We start from the raw sequence: 13852 nt of genomic DNA, 5'->3' as shown, positions 1-13852 counted from the left end.
ATCAACAAACTCAGATTTTATAAGAGATTAATTCTACGTGACATAACTTGTCATTAACTCTGACCCAAAATTTGGAAGTCAAAGTAAAAAAAGCAGCAGTATTTGTTTTAAGAACAAATCTAGTGCCAGTTACCTCAGTTCCACTCATTATATCCCTCCATTCTCTGATTCACTGAAAAGGAAGAATACACAGAAACACCAGTGGGATCTTGGAAAAATTGTGTAGGGCTGCTGAGAGGTATGTTTACCTCTATGTTTTCATCCACACAAAAGAGAGTTCATCAAGTTCCTTATTCCAAAATAACAATAAACAGTAACTTTGAACTTCTGTAAGTACAAACATTTTAAGGAACCATGAGACCAAAATAAAGGCTTATGCAATCAACCTCTGCTTTCAGAACACTTGCAAGACAAGTCCCTTTCCATCTGGGCCATCTTGCAAGAATGTTGTTTCCGTTTGTCAAAAAGAAACACTGTCCACATTTGTACTGTTGAAAAAAGAGCATAAGTTAAGCTTAAAAATGTCTGAGACAAAGAAAATTAAAACATGTCTGAGACTGGTTAGAGAATAAAGGTAAATCCTACACCAAGAAATTTAAAATTAGAAAATCAGAGGTGGAAAGGACTTTAGAAATCCTCTTAGGTCCAGCCTCTCACTGAATGCACCCTCCTTCTAGGGGTGATCACCTGGCTTGTCCAATGCTGAGTCAGTTACGTACCATTTCAAAAGGTAGTTGGTTTGTCTATTAGACGGCACCCACTATTAGAGAGGCCTTCCTTATACGGAGTCCCATTAATCTCTCTTCCTACCATTTTGATATCCTGGTGCTGCTTTTTACTCCCCCCATACTTATATAATATATCAAAGTATGAAAGATAAAGATGGAGGTTTGGAGATTCTAGCAGAAGAAAGCAGCCACTTATATACTCAACCAAAATACAAGCCCGCTGAACCAATTTAATCCAGGAGCTCAATGATAGAACAGACATAGCAATTAGACAGACTGCTGTGATTACCAATGGAGATGAAGCAAAGCAACATTATCTTCCTACCAGGTAACCGGAAAAAGGAGGTTAAGGGAGGTAGAACACTGCTAAGTACTCACTAATGAAATGATTAGTCAATCTATGTCTAAAACTAATTCAGCAGTTAACTTAAAATGGCTTTTCTCAAAAAACATTAAAGCCTGTAACACAAAGAAATCAACAGGAAAGCAGACTGAGGTCTACTAGGAGAAAGGAAGGAGGCATTCTTCATCTTTCTCATGTTATTTAACTGGCCCTTCTTATCTACACAGCTAAAGATACGAATTATCTAAATTACAGCACTAATTTCCTGTGTGACTTTAGACAAGTCAATATACCTTAACCAGATTATCTCAAACATATCTCTTCTAAAAGATAGTAACTGTATCTCAAAAATTCATTAAACTACTCTGGAAAGGTAAATTTGGCTCCACATTAATCTTACTGCCCTGTTTTATTATTATTATTATTATTATTTTGTAGAGGTGAGGTCTTGCTATGTTGCCCAGGCTGGTTTTGAACTCTTGGGCTCAAGTGATCTTCCCACCTTGGCCTCCCAAAGTACTGGGATTACAGGCATGAGCCACTGGGCCTGGCCATTGGTTTATTATTAACAGGTAGGGACTTACTGTGACTCTTCCTTGTTGTCTCTCCCAGCAGTGGAAGGTAACTAGTGTATACTTAGGTGATGTTTCTGGGAATAAAGAACTATCAATCAGTCATCCTGTATCATTATTATCAATTCAATTCCCCAGGTGACTTCAGGAGGGAAAGAATGAGATCCTAGTTTGGACTTTGTTGGCTTTGAAAAGGACATTCTGCCAACATATGTCCTGATAATGTCATCACCCCATTCAAAGCTATGTCACTGGACCCCCCACCATCAACTGAACTCCAAACTTCTAAGTATGGCTTAAATTCTCCTGTGATCTGGGTCTTTAATTCTCATTACTCCTCTTCTCACTTCTATACACCAAGAGTGACATCACTTCCTCTTAAAACTGTGTATATAGATGCCACTTGTCATGTTCCTGACTCACAGAGGAATCTGAGAGAGTGAATACTACCCACAGAGACGCACAGGCCTTTTTCTGATTTGGGGATGGGATACAGACAGAGGGACTCTTGGGTGTGGTGAGTCTCTGTTCCAACTAGAGGACCTCCTGACTGCCACAAAAATCAATGTACACATATATCAAAACACCACATTGTATACTGTAAACATATACAATTTTCATTGTCAATTACATCGTCGTAAAAAAGAATTCTTTCCAGTTGGTCCTGGGAAAGCTATGCAGTGCTCTTGGTGGTAGTGTCTGAGAGCTGAGACAAGGCCCAAGTCTTTGGGGGTTTCCCTAGGAGATTCTGGTATGTGCTGCTATGATTGTTTTTATAGTAAAGAGCCAACATATTTTAAGGAGGGAGAAAGAGCTAGCCAAGAGATTTTCTGCCAGTATTGAAGAACCTTGTAAAGTCAGTGAGATGAGACTGATTGCATAAGCCAATGAAGCCCCCAGTTGCTTCCGTTAGAGGCCAGTCCCTTGATGCTACAAACACTGAATAAGATAAAACTTAAAAATCTGAACAGGTCCACCTCTTCCTTTGAGGACAATAGACTTCTTCAAAAAAGAGCAAAAGTGGATCCCCGTAAGTTTTCATTTCATGGAGTGAACTGATGATGGCTAACCTTCAAGACATGGTTACTTGAAGATTCATCAAAATCCTTCCAATCCCTAGTGATTGGCGCCCCAAACACCTAAACACACCGCATAAGAGGAGAACAACTTCTGAGGGAAATGGTAGATGGTGTGATTGAAACACTTATCTTAAGAAAGCTTAGAACTGTCCTCCCAAGAAACCATAGGATGGAAGCAAAGAGTTCTGGAACTAAAGGAAAAAATTCTTGAAAACAAGCATATGAATGAACTCAGTTGCAAATGATAAAGAGAGCCAGCTAAAAATCTATGACTGAAACTCCTGGAGAAGATAGATTTCCTTGCTCTCTTTAGAGCCAATTACATGGATAATGGCAACTTGGAATTGGAAAAAAGGGTGAATCAGAAAATGGAGACCATTTAGATTATTGTCAGAAGTTAATTTGAAGAAACTCATTGATTCTGTTCACGCAAATACTCCTTAAAAAGGTTAGAAGTGGCCGGGCGCGGTGCCTCACGCCTTAATCCCAGCACTTTGGGATGCTAAGGCCGGTGGATCACCTGAGGTCAGGGGTTCAAGACCAGCCTGGCCAACATGCTGAAACCCCATCTCTACTAAAAATACAAAAATTAGCCAGGCATTGTGGCTCACGCCTGTAATACTAACTATTCAGGAGGCTGAGGCAGGGGAATCGCTTGAACCTGGGAGGTGGAGGTTGCAGTGAGCCAAGATTGAGCCACTGTACTCCAGCCTGGGCGACAGAGCAAGACTCTGTCACAAAAAAAAAAAAAAAAAAAAAAGTTAGAAGAACTACTTACACTTTGTTGATCAACTTACAGTCTCTCACAAATAGCTTTACAGGGCCTATTTCCTCTATTTGCAAAACATCTTTTTGTGCAAATCTTGCTCTGCCCACTTTCCCCATGAAGCCTTTTCTCCTTCCTATTCCAACTCCCACGGCGCTCTGCTGCCTCTCCTGCTGCACTCACTCATTTGTGGTTGTTCTGTTGTTGGGTTTTTTGTTTGTTCTTCTAAGATAGGGTTTGTTGCTTTGTTGCCCAAGCTAGAGTGCAGTGCAGCCTCAATCTCCTATGCTCAAGCAATCCTCCCACCTCAGCTTCTTGAGTAGCTGGGACTACAGGCATGTGCTACCACGCCTGGCCAGCTTTTATTTTTGAGAGCTCCTTTAGGTAACAACAACAATAAAATTATACTAATTTAGTATACTTTTTTTTTTTTTGAGATGGATTCACGCTCTGTCACCCAGGCTGGAGTGCAGTGGTGTGATCTTGGCTCACTGCAACCTCCGCCTCCCGGGTTCAAGCTATTCCCCTGCCTCAGCTTCCCGAATACCTGGGACTACAGGTGCATGCCACCACGCCTGGCTAATTTTTTGTGTCTTTAGTAGAGACAGCGGGGTTTCACCATGTTAGTCAGGATGGTCTCGATCTCCTGACCTAGTGATGCACCTGCCTCGGCCTCCCAACGTGCTGCGATTACAGGCATGAGCCACTGAGCCCGGCCTAATTTAGTATACTTTTTAAAAACCTAGTATGACTATTTTGCTTATGTGGATTTAAGTTTTAGATTGCTTATTACAGAAAATCACAGAAAGGTAATTTAAATACCCTAAATAGAAAGTCAAGGAAAAGGGTGTCCTTAATGCTCCTTGTCTCCTGGTTAGCCTATGATATTTCAGCTCCAGCCAATTTCCTTTACACAAAGACCCTGCTTAAAGCATTTATGAATAAGCTGGAAGAGTGGTGGATGAGACATGGCTTCTCTGAATAGGGGAGGGAGGACACAAAAAATAGCTGCTTTCATTGAGGGCAGGAAAGAGATTATTTCATTAGGAGCCAAACAGTGAGACTATCTCAGTACAAACAATTGTTTGGCTTGAAGACTCCATGTGGGTAATTACTCCAGCAAAGGCTCAGCTGGAATGGAACACGGAGCCTGCCAGGACCTAAGGATAGGGACTGACACAGGCTTAAGTGTCTGAATCATGGCTTTGGAATCCCAGAGCATCCCAGCAAAGATGCTCACAGAACACACTCTACCCCAATCAGCGAGAAGCACCATTCTGCACCCGACCAAGTGCAGAATGTGAATTTAAAACAGATGAGAAAATCTGGGGGTACTGGGAGCAAATTCAAAGTTATTAAACCTAAACTGATATTTTATAGCAAATGTAGCAAGTCCAAAGATTAGATTTCTTGGGCAATCTAATGCATTTCAATCACCACTTCAATGGCTAACAATAGGCTGGGTGGAGTTGGTGTGCAGGGAGGGACTGCTGAGCTAATAGCTGGGCAAATCATTTCAAAGTCAGCCAGGTGGACCTGATATTTCAAAACTTGATACTATAATTAAACCAATTTCCTAGTGACCTCACTTCAGGTAATATAAGCAAACTTGGTTCTCAAGTTACTGTCTTCATCTCCTGGGGACATTCAGTTCTTTACATTTTTAGGTTACTTCAGTTTAACTTCCTCTTTGCAACAACCAGTATCTACTCATATATTTAAAAACAAAAACAAAACAAAACAAAACAAAAAACTAAAGCTGCAAAGTGAGCCTGCCCACTGCGGGAGGGAAAGGGCCTATGTTTAGAAGAAGCTACTAAAAAGGGTGATATGGTCATTGTCCAATGAGATTGCTCTTCATCCTCCATCCCTAGGATAGATTCCTCACCCCACCACTTTGACGAGGAATTTTTTTCCCCTAGGAAGCTGAAGGGATAACTATCATAATACTAGATTCTGGATGCACAAGACCCAGTCCCGATCCATAACTCACAATCCCAGGGCCTTCCTAGGTTGCTATCTGATAGCCTTTGTGAGTGAATGCTTTCATACATTTCAATCATTACCCTGACCAAGGCTAATAGCAGGCTGGTGGGTGTAGGCGTGTAGGGACTGCTGCGCTAACAGCTGGGCAATCATTTCAAAGTTGGCCAGGTGGACTCAACATTTGAAAACTTGACATGGTCATTAAAGTCCCTCATAATCAAGCGTCGGCATTCATCTGTGTATAGTATACACTTAATGCATGCTTACTGATTAAACAGGTAATAAGCAATAGTGGAATAACATGAAAACTGATATTAAAAACAGCCCATATTCAAATAGTCCCATCTTTGTTCCTCTAGACCAATGGCTCCCAACAGAAACGATTTCCCCTCAAGGGGCAATGCTGATGTCTAGAGACATTTTTGGTTGTCACAACGGGCAGAGGGGTAGGGAAGAGCTACTGGCATCTAGTGGGCAGAGGACAGGAATGCTGGCTCCTAAACATTCTAAAATGCCCTGGACAGTGCCCACAACAAGGAATCACCCAAAATGTCAATAGTCTGAGGTTGAGAAATCCTGCTCTAGAGGAACCATTTTTAAGCCATTTAGTTTGAAGTGAGACATAAGAATATGTCAATTTTGTGGAAAAGCCTCTCTTGTTCTGTAACAAACAGATACACGTTTAGAGTACAAAATTCTAAAATTGTAACAAACCTTAGGAATGATCTAGTCTAAGCACAGTTGGAGAAACTAAGGCCTAGAGAGGTCAAGTCATTTGCCCAAGTTCACAGAAGAAAGGATCAGCTGGACTGAAATTAGAATCACCTTTACACACCCAAATGTGTGTTATACATAGTAAATGCTCAATAATGGTCACTAAATTGATATCTTGTTCTTTAGGTATTCTTTTTTTTATTATTACAACATACAATTCACTCTCTGCTGCTGGGAATCTGAGACTGATTGTGAAGATTTCTTCCCATCCACACTCCCCTTCCTCAAAAAGAAGCCCAGAAGGGAAAAACAGTGTAACCTACTAGAGCTCAAGACTGAGTGGCCAGGCAGAAGATGTTTTTCAATTGTTTCCAGGGAAGCTCATGTCTTTCACCCAGGCAGAGGCTCTACATAAAACCTTCTAAGTGAGCAAATGAGCCCTTGTGCAAGACCATGGACATGTGAATTTCTCTTCGCAACTCAGCACAGCAGCTTTCCTAACACATTGGAGAAGTCCCAACCAATGGCAAACAGATGGAAAATCAGTGCCAGTTTCACTGAATCACAACCACATCCAAACAAGCTAGAAAGCTTTCAGTTCTAAACAAACAGCAGAATCAAAATGAATTCTGGGATCAAAGTACAGATGGTTGGTTAGTCCAGTGGTGTGCAGAATATCAGTCATCAAAACAGCCCTGGCTTAAGGGAGGAGAGCAAAAGATGGAGATTTGCCCTTTGAAAAAGAAAACATTCACCACGATGTTTCAAAACCCAGGCGTTTCAGAATAGAACACAATGAGGTCAAAATATATGGCATAAGGGGGTGGGGCAAAGATACCAGCCATGTGAGTACAAAGATCCTGCAAAGGGAACATTAGGCAGATGAACTCAGGGCAGGTCTGGGGGTGGGCGGGGGAGGGGAGTGGGTGGAGGTGGGGGCATCACAATTTCAAAAGAGCCCAAGTAAGATTCTTTAAACGAACCTGTTCCAGTGGGCACAAGGAGTTTCTAAAACTGCTGCAAGGTTATTAAATTCTACAGCACCTGAGAACCACGTCTAAATATTTACTCCCATCCCACAAAAGGGCTAAAGGACTGCTATTTCAGCCTCCTGTTTCACACTTCATGCTACATTTTTCCCCAGGATGATGTGTCACACCAAAACCTCCTACTGAGAGGGCAGAGGATTCGCTTCATGTCTAGCTCCAGCTTCCAAAGCAGCACAGGTGGCAGAAGCACAGAAATGAAATGGCACAAAGAAGCAATTACCACAAAGCAACCATGAGATTCACCTGCTCAGCTTCCTGGTGTCACAGATCTTCAGCTATCTGGGCTAACAGTATGAGGAAGACTATCAAAAAACAAAACAAAGCATATGACCTGAACACACATTAACAGAATAATGCTGCTCATAATAGGGACATAGACACTATGTGCCAGACACCGTGCATTAAGTATGCAGATAGACATGAAAACACAGTCCCTGTCCTCATCTCCAGTCTGAGGGCCCTTCTTCAAAAAAAAAATAATAATGCAGTAGCTGTTACCTCCTTTCTACTAATGTAGGACCTCTAATCCACCTCCTTAGAGGACTAAGTTTAAGTGAATGAGGACTGTATGAACAACATAAGATGCTAGTCAATGGCGCAAGGGTATTTCCGCACATCAGGTATATAATGTTGTGTCCGGAATTGGTGGGTTCTTGGTTTCACTGACTTCAAGAATGAAGCCGTGGACCCTCGCAGTGAGTGTTACAGTTCTTAAAGGCGGCGTGTCCGGAGTTTGTTCCTTCTGATGTTCGGATGTGTTCGGAGTTTCTTCCTTCTGGTGGGGTTCGTGGTCTCGCTGGCTCAGGAGTGAAGCTGTGGACCCTCGCGGTGAGTGTTAAAGCTCTTAAGGCAGCGCGTCTGGAATTGTTCGTTCCTCCCGGTGGGTTCGTGGTCTCGCTGGCTTCAGGAGTGAAGCTGCAGACCTTCGCGGTGAGTGTTGCAGCTCATAAAGGCAGTGTGGACCCAAAGAGTGAGTAGCAGTAAGATTTATTGCAAAGAGCAAAAGAACAAAGTTTCCACACTGTGGAAGAGGACCCGAACAGGCTGCCACTGCTGGCTCGGGCAGCCTGCTTTTATTCTCTTATCTGGCCCCATCCAATCACATCCTGCTGATTGGTAGAGCGGAGCGGTCTGTTTTGACAGGGTGCTGATTGGTGCGTTTACAATCCCTGAGCTAGACACAAAGGTTCTCCACATCCCCACCAGATTAGCTAGATACAGAGTGTGGACACAAAGGTTCTCCAAATCCCCACCAAGAGTAGCTAGATACAGAGTGTCCACACAAAGGTTCTCCAAGTCCCCACCAGAGTAGCTAGATACAGAGTGTCGATTGGTGCATTCACAAACCCTGAGCTAGACACAGGGTGCTGATTGGTGTGTTTACAAACCTTGAGCTAGATACAGAGTGCCGACTGGTGTATTTACAATCCCTGAGCTAGACATAAAGGTTCTCCAAGGCCCCACCAGACTCAGGAGCCCAGCTGGCTTCATCCAGTGGATCTCGCACTGGGGCTGCAGGTGGAGCTGCCCGCCAGTCCCGCGCTGTGCGCCCACACACCTCAGCCCTTGGGTGGTTGATGGGACCGGGTGCCGTGGAGCAGGGGGCGGTCTCGTTGGGGAGGCTCAGGCTGCACAGGAGCCCACAGAGGTGGGGGGAGGCTCAGGCATGGCGGGCTGCAGGTCCCGAGCCCTGCCCCGTGGGAAGGCAGCTAAGGCCCGGTGAGAAATCCAGCGCAGCGCCGGTGGGCCGGCACTGCTGGGGGACCCAGCACACCCTCTGCAGCCGCTGGCCCAGGTGCTAAGCCCCTCATTGCCCAGGGCCAGCAGGGCTGGCCGGCTGCTCCAAGTGCGGGGCCCGCCAAGCCCATGCCCACCCGGAACTCCAGCTGGCCCACAAGTGCGGCACACAGCCCCGGTTCCCGGAGCTGGCTCCCTCCACACCTCCCCGCAAGCCGAGGGAGCCAGCTCCGGCCTCGGCCAGCCCAGGAAGGGGCTCCCACAGTGCAGCAGTGGGCTGAAGGGCTCCTCAAGTGCGGCCAGAGTGGGTGCCAAGGCCGAGGAGGCACCGAGAGCGAGCGAGGGCTGTGAGGGCTGCCAGCACGCTGTCACCTCTCAATGTGAAAGTGCCGGCCCATCTTGCTGTGGTATGACCCATAAAGCTGTTCCTTATGTCCCTTATGTTCCTTAGGTCCCTTATGGGGAAACCAGGGTTCTCCCGAATTCCCCATTCCTTGCCTCAGCAGACATCTACTGCAATGAAGCAGTTCAGAATGATAATGCCCATAGCAAAGCCATCTCTACGTGGGCTCAACCCAGAGAATCCCCTTGGTAACTTTTTAAATTAGAGGGCCCACTTGACTACTCAAATCTGAACACATAAATAACCCATCACTCTAACAACAACACAAAAATTTATACTTCCTTATTTGTATTGTTAAAAAATTGAAAATTCAAATATTAACAATTGGGCAAGAGATAATAATGACATATTCCAATGCTGGGATACAATAAAGGTATTTACACGTTTTTAATGTCATGAAATAAGCTTATAATAAATGTTAAGCAAAAAAGAATGATATAAAATCATTATGGTATAAGCTCAAGTAAATGGGTGATAAGAATTATGAAAAATAAGGCCGGGCATGGTGGTTGATGCCTGTAATCCTGGCACTCCGGCAGGCCGAGGCAGGCAGATGATGTGAGCTCAGGAGTTCGAGACTAGCCTGGGCAACATGGCAAAACCCTGTCTGTACTAAAAATACAAAAATTAGCTGGACGTGGTGGTGTGCACCTGTAGTCCCAGCTACTATGAAGGCTGAGACAGAAGAACTGCTTAAGCCTGATAGAGGCTGCAGTGAGCTGAGATCGTGCCACTGTACTCCAGCTTGGGCGACGGAGCGAGAGACCTTGTCTCCAAAAAAAAAAAAAAAAAAGAATTATGAAAAATACCTTCAGCATCATTATATTTTTCATACTTTCCAATGATTTTTATCGTGGATAGGTTTCAGAATCATAAAAGATAAAGTTGTTGTTGTTTTAAAAAAAACCAGCATTTACTGATGTTTAGATTATAAGCACAGGGATCCTCCTATCTCCCCAGCTCCTAAAATCCCACAAGACAGAAAACAACTGGTCTGTTCCTATGGCAACAAATCTTTTTTTCCTTAAATGTATGAGAAGTCTAATGAAACTGGGACCTATTTTTACTCTGCCCGTAATATGGACCCTTGATCTGAGCCACTTGTGTCAGGCTACTTCTGTCGAGACTAGGCTCAGAACAAGTTAGAATGCTCAGGGAGCCAAGCCGGAGTCTTCCTGATTCCAATGTTTCATTTAATGAAGCTTCCTTTCTCTTTCATATAATCTGGGAATGTTAATACTGTAGTCACACTACAGGAAAGACCTTTCCTCAAGTTTCTCCTCCATCTGTAACGGTTCCTCTAACCGAACTCTTCATGCCTACTTTCAGAGAGACAAAGTCAATCCCTGTTCCAAACAGCTAATCTTTCAGTAAAAATGATTTCAACATAGCAGAAGAGCCTGAATCTCTTAATTCATTCTTTCTCAAATCAGCTGTCACACTCAAATTGGTTTCCGTCAGCTCTGCTGTTTTCAGCTATTTTGAACAAAAGCATCATGGTAAGAACAGGGAGTTTCCTTCCTGTTTCTCTTCTCAGGGTTTGTGTCAGTTATAAGGAGTGATAAAGTGTCAACAACAACAAAAAGACACCAATGCCCCCTTCTCTACAAGCTTTACACTACAGCATATGATGTCACCAGTTCACACAGAAAATTCTGTAAGAAATTATTTTTGAAGGCACAGAACAAAAACAACCACCTAAACAATATCAAGACAAAACTTCCTTAACTCAAAACTAGAAACACTAGAGAACTCATTTCTAAATCCACACATTTGGGGACTTCCAGTTAGACAAGAAAAGAGGAAGTTAAAGAACAAAATGTACTGTGTGCGCACTTCAGACCACTGAGGTGAAATAACATTGTAGGATTAACATGTAAACCCACATCTAAAGATGTAAGCTCTGTGGTAGAGGCCTGGGGATTTATGGTATTCCGTCACCAGCAACTGCTGCAAAAGACAGCATGGCTATTTGAAGAAAAGGAAAAGAAAAGGTGCTCTATTTGCTCAAATCACCATGCTAGGACACACTTATCAGCTACAGCTGAGAGTAGGTCTCTCTCCCTCTCGCATTTGCTTCACTGTTTCAATACATCATAAAATGAGAGCATTACACATTTGATTTGTGGGTGAGGGGAAATGACATGAGGCCTGAGGAACCCAGTTCTCATTGTTTCAGATTAAGAAATTTCTTTTTGGAAGCTTTGACCTGAAATGTTTTTTTTAAAAAAGTATTTTCCAAGTAAGCTTATGAAATCCAGAACTTAAATAAACTGTATTCTATATGTATTTAAAAGCAAACCAGAATTCCTATAGGAAATCTATGAACTGAGGGGAAAAGAGGGCTATGGTCAACAAAATTTGTCAGAGAATCACTTAACATTAATTGAAAATGAAAAAAAGCAACAATAATAAAATTCTACTACTACCGAGTGACATGCTACAAAGGTGGGATTCCAGGGCAAGCTTCAGCCACACATGAGGGAGGATGGGGGATAAGGGGAAGAGCTGGACAAACTGAAGACGACCACCAGAGCAACCTTACGCTGACGGATGGCCACAGCTGAGGCAGATCTGGCTCATCTCTGGGGCTTTCCACTGGGGAGAGACCTGCAGTTCAGCCATCAGTGGACCGGCATTCACAAAGCCTGTGGGGAAACACAGGATCCAGAAGAGTGGGGTAGGGAAGGAGAAAGTGTGGGAAACGGAATAGTCAAACACAGCAGTGAAATATTATATTTATTAAATATGAAGCTTCAAAAATGCATAGATGGACCTCTTAAGTTGAAATGGACCAGCTGAAAAGAACTGGTACTCTGGGAAGCAGTCTGATATGCTTTTTCAAATCCCAAATTACATTTTCATTACACCTGTGAATTATAGTAACACCTGCCAAGAGGAAATGAGTTTTTTGGAGAAAAGAAAGAAACAAGGAAACCTATGCAATTGTTACAGTTGGTAACTTCACTCAAACAACGAGAGTCCTTTATCTGTGGCCTCTGTGGGAAGTAACAGCCTAAAAGCAAACATACTCACACTGCACTGAAAACTCTGCTGGCCTAGTTCCACCAATTCCATTAATATAGCAAGGGCCCAAATGCAGGTGACCTGATTGACAAAAAAAGCACTTCTAGAAAGGGCTGAACTTGTCTCATATAACTCATTAGACACTTTTATAATCACGTAGAAAACAAGTAGCCACAACTTGGAAAGCTCTGCCCTTAAATGGAGCAGCAGCAACATTCCTTACAAGACAAAATATTTTTTTCAGGTCAGGGTAGAAGAAAACAGACCCAGTGATCTTGCCTCCCTCACCCAGTGCAAACTTATCTGAAGTTGTGGGGTAAAACAAACAAATCAATAAGACTAGTTAAACTAACATGCAGCACAAGATAAAACAGCCACACTGCAGTTACCTTAACTGTAAAGAAAACACTGAGCTGAGGCCCGGCCTTGGTGGCTCACATCTGCAATCCCAGCACTTTGGGAGGCCAAGGAGGGTAGGTAGCTCACTTGAGGCCAGGAGTTTGAGACCAGCCTGGCCAATGTGGTGAGACCCTGTGTCTACTAAAAATACAAATAATTAGCTGGGCATGGAGGTACACACCTATAATCCCAGCTACTTGGAAGGCTGAGGCATGAGAATCACTTGAACCCGGGAGCCAGAGGAGGCAGTGAGCTGAGATCGCATCAAAGCACTCCAGCCTGGGCAACAGAGCAAGACTCTGTCTCCAGAAAAACGAAAGAAAAAAAAAAGAGTGAGCTGTACCATGTTTTAACGCTGCAATCCTCAACATTTTCTGTGTATGGCTTCTGTGTGACTAACTCAAGCTGTCCAGTTGTAGATATACTCAATGTGGATACACCATACCTAAGACTTCCCAGAATTGACAGGGTGGGAACTTATTTTCTGAGTAACCAAACGATAAGTTGCTCCTGGCAGCAGCCAACAGTCAAATACATATTCAATACAGGAGCCAATTTGCCTAGTCATACCCCCTAAGTATATAAACTATGACTGAGTTGTTACATTACTTCCTGGGACTAATAATTGTTTCAGCAACAGTCAAGATCCTTTAGAAGCACGCAATGTTATATCTGCCGGAAAACCCTTCCGTTCTCTTGTCCAAAATAATTCAAATACTATAAGGGGAAAGAAATTACATCTTGGAGAATTCAGTGCCTTTGTGTCTTTGCCTGTTTGCGCTGGGATCCCTCCCTTGCTCCGCTTGATCACAGGGAACTACATCTCCCAGGCTCCCTTTGCCAACTGATTTCAGGATAAGTTCCATCAATGGGAGGCACTGAGGAGGATAAGAGGCAGGAGCAGGGAGCAGCCAGGGTAATACGCTCTCTCACTCGGCCTACTTCCAGCTGCCACCAGACTGCTCCTCTTTCCATGCTTCCGCTCACACCAGACCACTCGGACTTCCAGCCCTTGGTGACACCAGTGCACTATTTTCCTTGCAGGCATA

General features: G+C 43.6%; 1 protein-coding gene across 14 annotated transcripts in view, besides 1 other annotated feature; it reads right to left on the bottom strand.

Moving 5' to 3' along the window:
• Positions 1-13852, bottom strand: part of SMAP2 (small ArfGAP2) — a 78493-nt gene that overhangs the window by 26303 nt on the left and 38338 nt on the right. The window contains exon 2 of one of the 14 annotated variants that reach the window (XM_047428013.1): positions 11923-12025. The exons of 10 other annotated variants lie outside the window; for them this stretch is intronic. Coding sequence is in view for 1 of the 4 variants with exons in the window: in NM_001198979.2 (NP_001185908.1) it covers positions 3520-3607 (88 nt within the window). In the remaining 3 variants the exon portion in view is untranslated. Of the gene's footprint in view, positions 1-133; positions 225-3519; positions 3680-11922; positions 13197-13852 lie in introns of those variants that run through there. 3 more of the 14 variants (XM_047428010.1, NM_001198979.2, NM_001198980.1) reach the window with 3 other exon arrangements.
• Positions 11010-11279: an enhancer, noted in NCBI's record as "active region_845". NCBI's record gives its function as "activates an Ori minimal core promoter by ATAC-STARR-seq in GM12878 lymphoblastoid cells {active_cell/tissue: GM12878}" and the evidence as "EXISTENCE:reporter gene assay evidence [ECO:0000049][PMID:35858748]".

The sequence above is a fragment of the Homo sapiens genome, chromosome 1 (assembly GCF_000001405.40).
Source record: "Homo sapiens chromosome 1, GRCh38.p14 Primary Assembly".
Lineage (NCBI taxonomy): Eukaryota > Metazoa > Chordata > Mammalia > Primates > Hominidae > Homo > Homo sapiens.
This window is presented reverse-complemented; position numbering and strand designations above follow the sequence as displayed.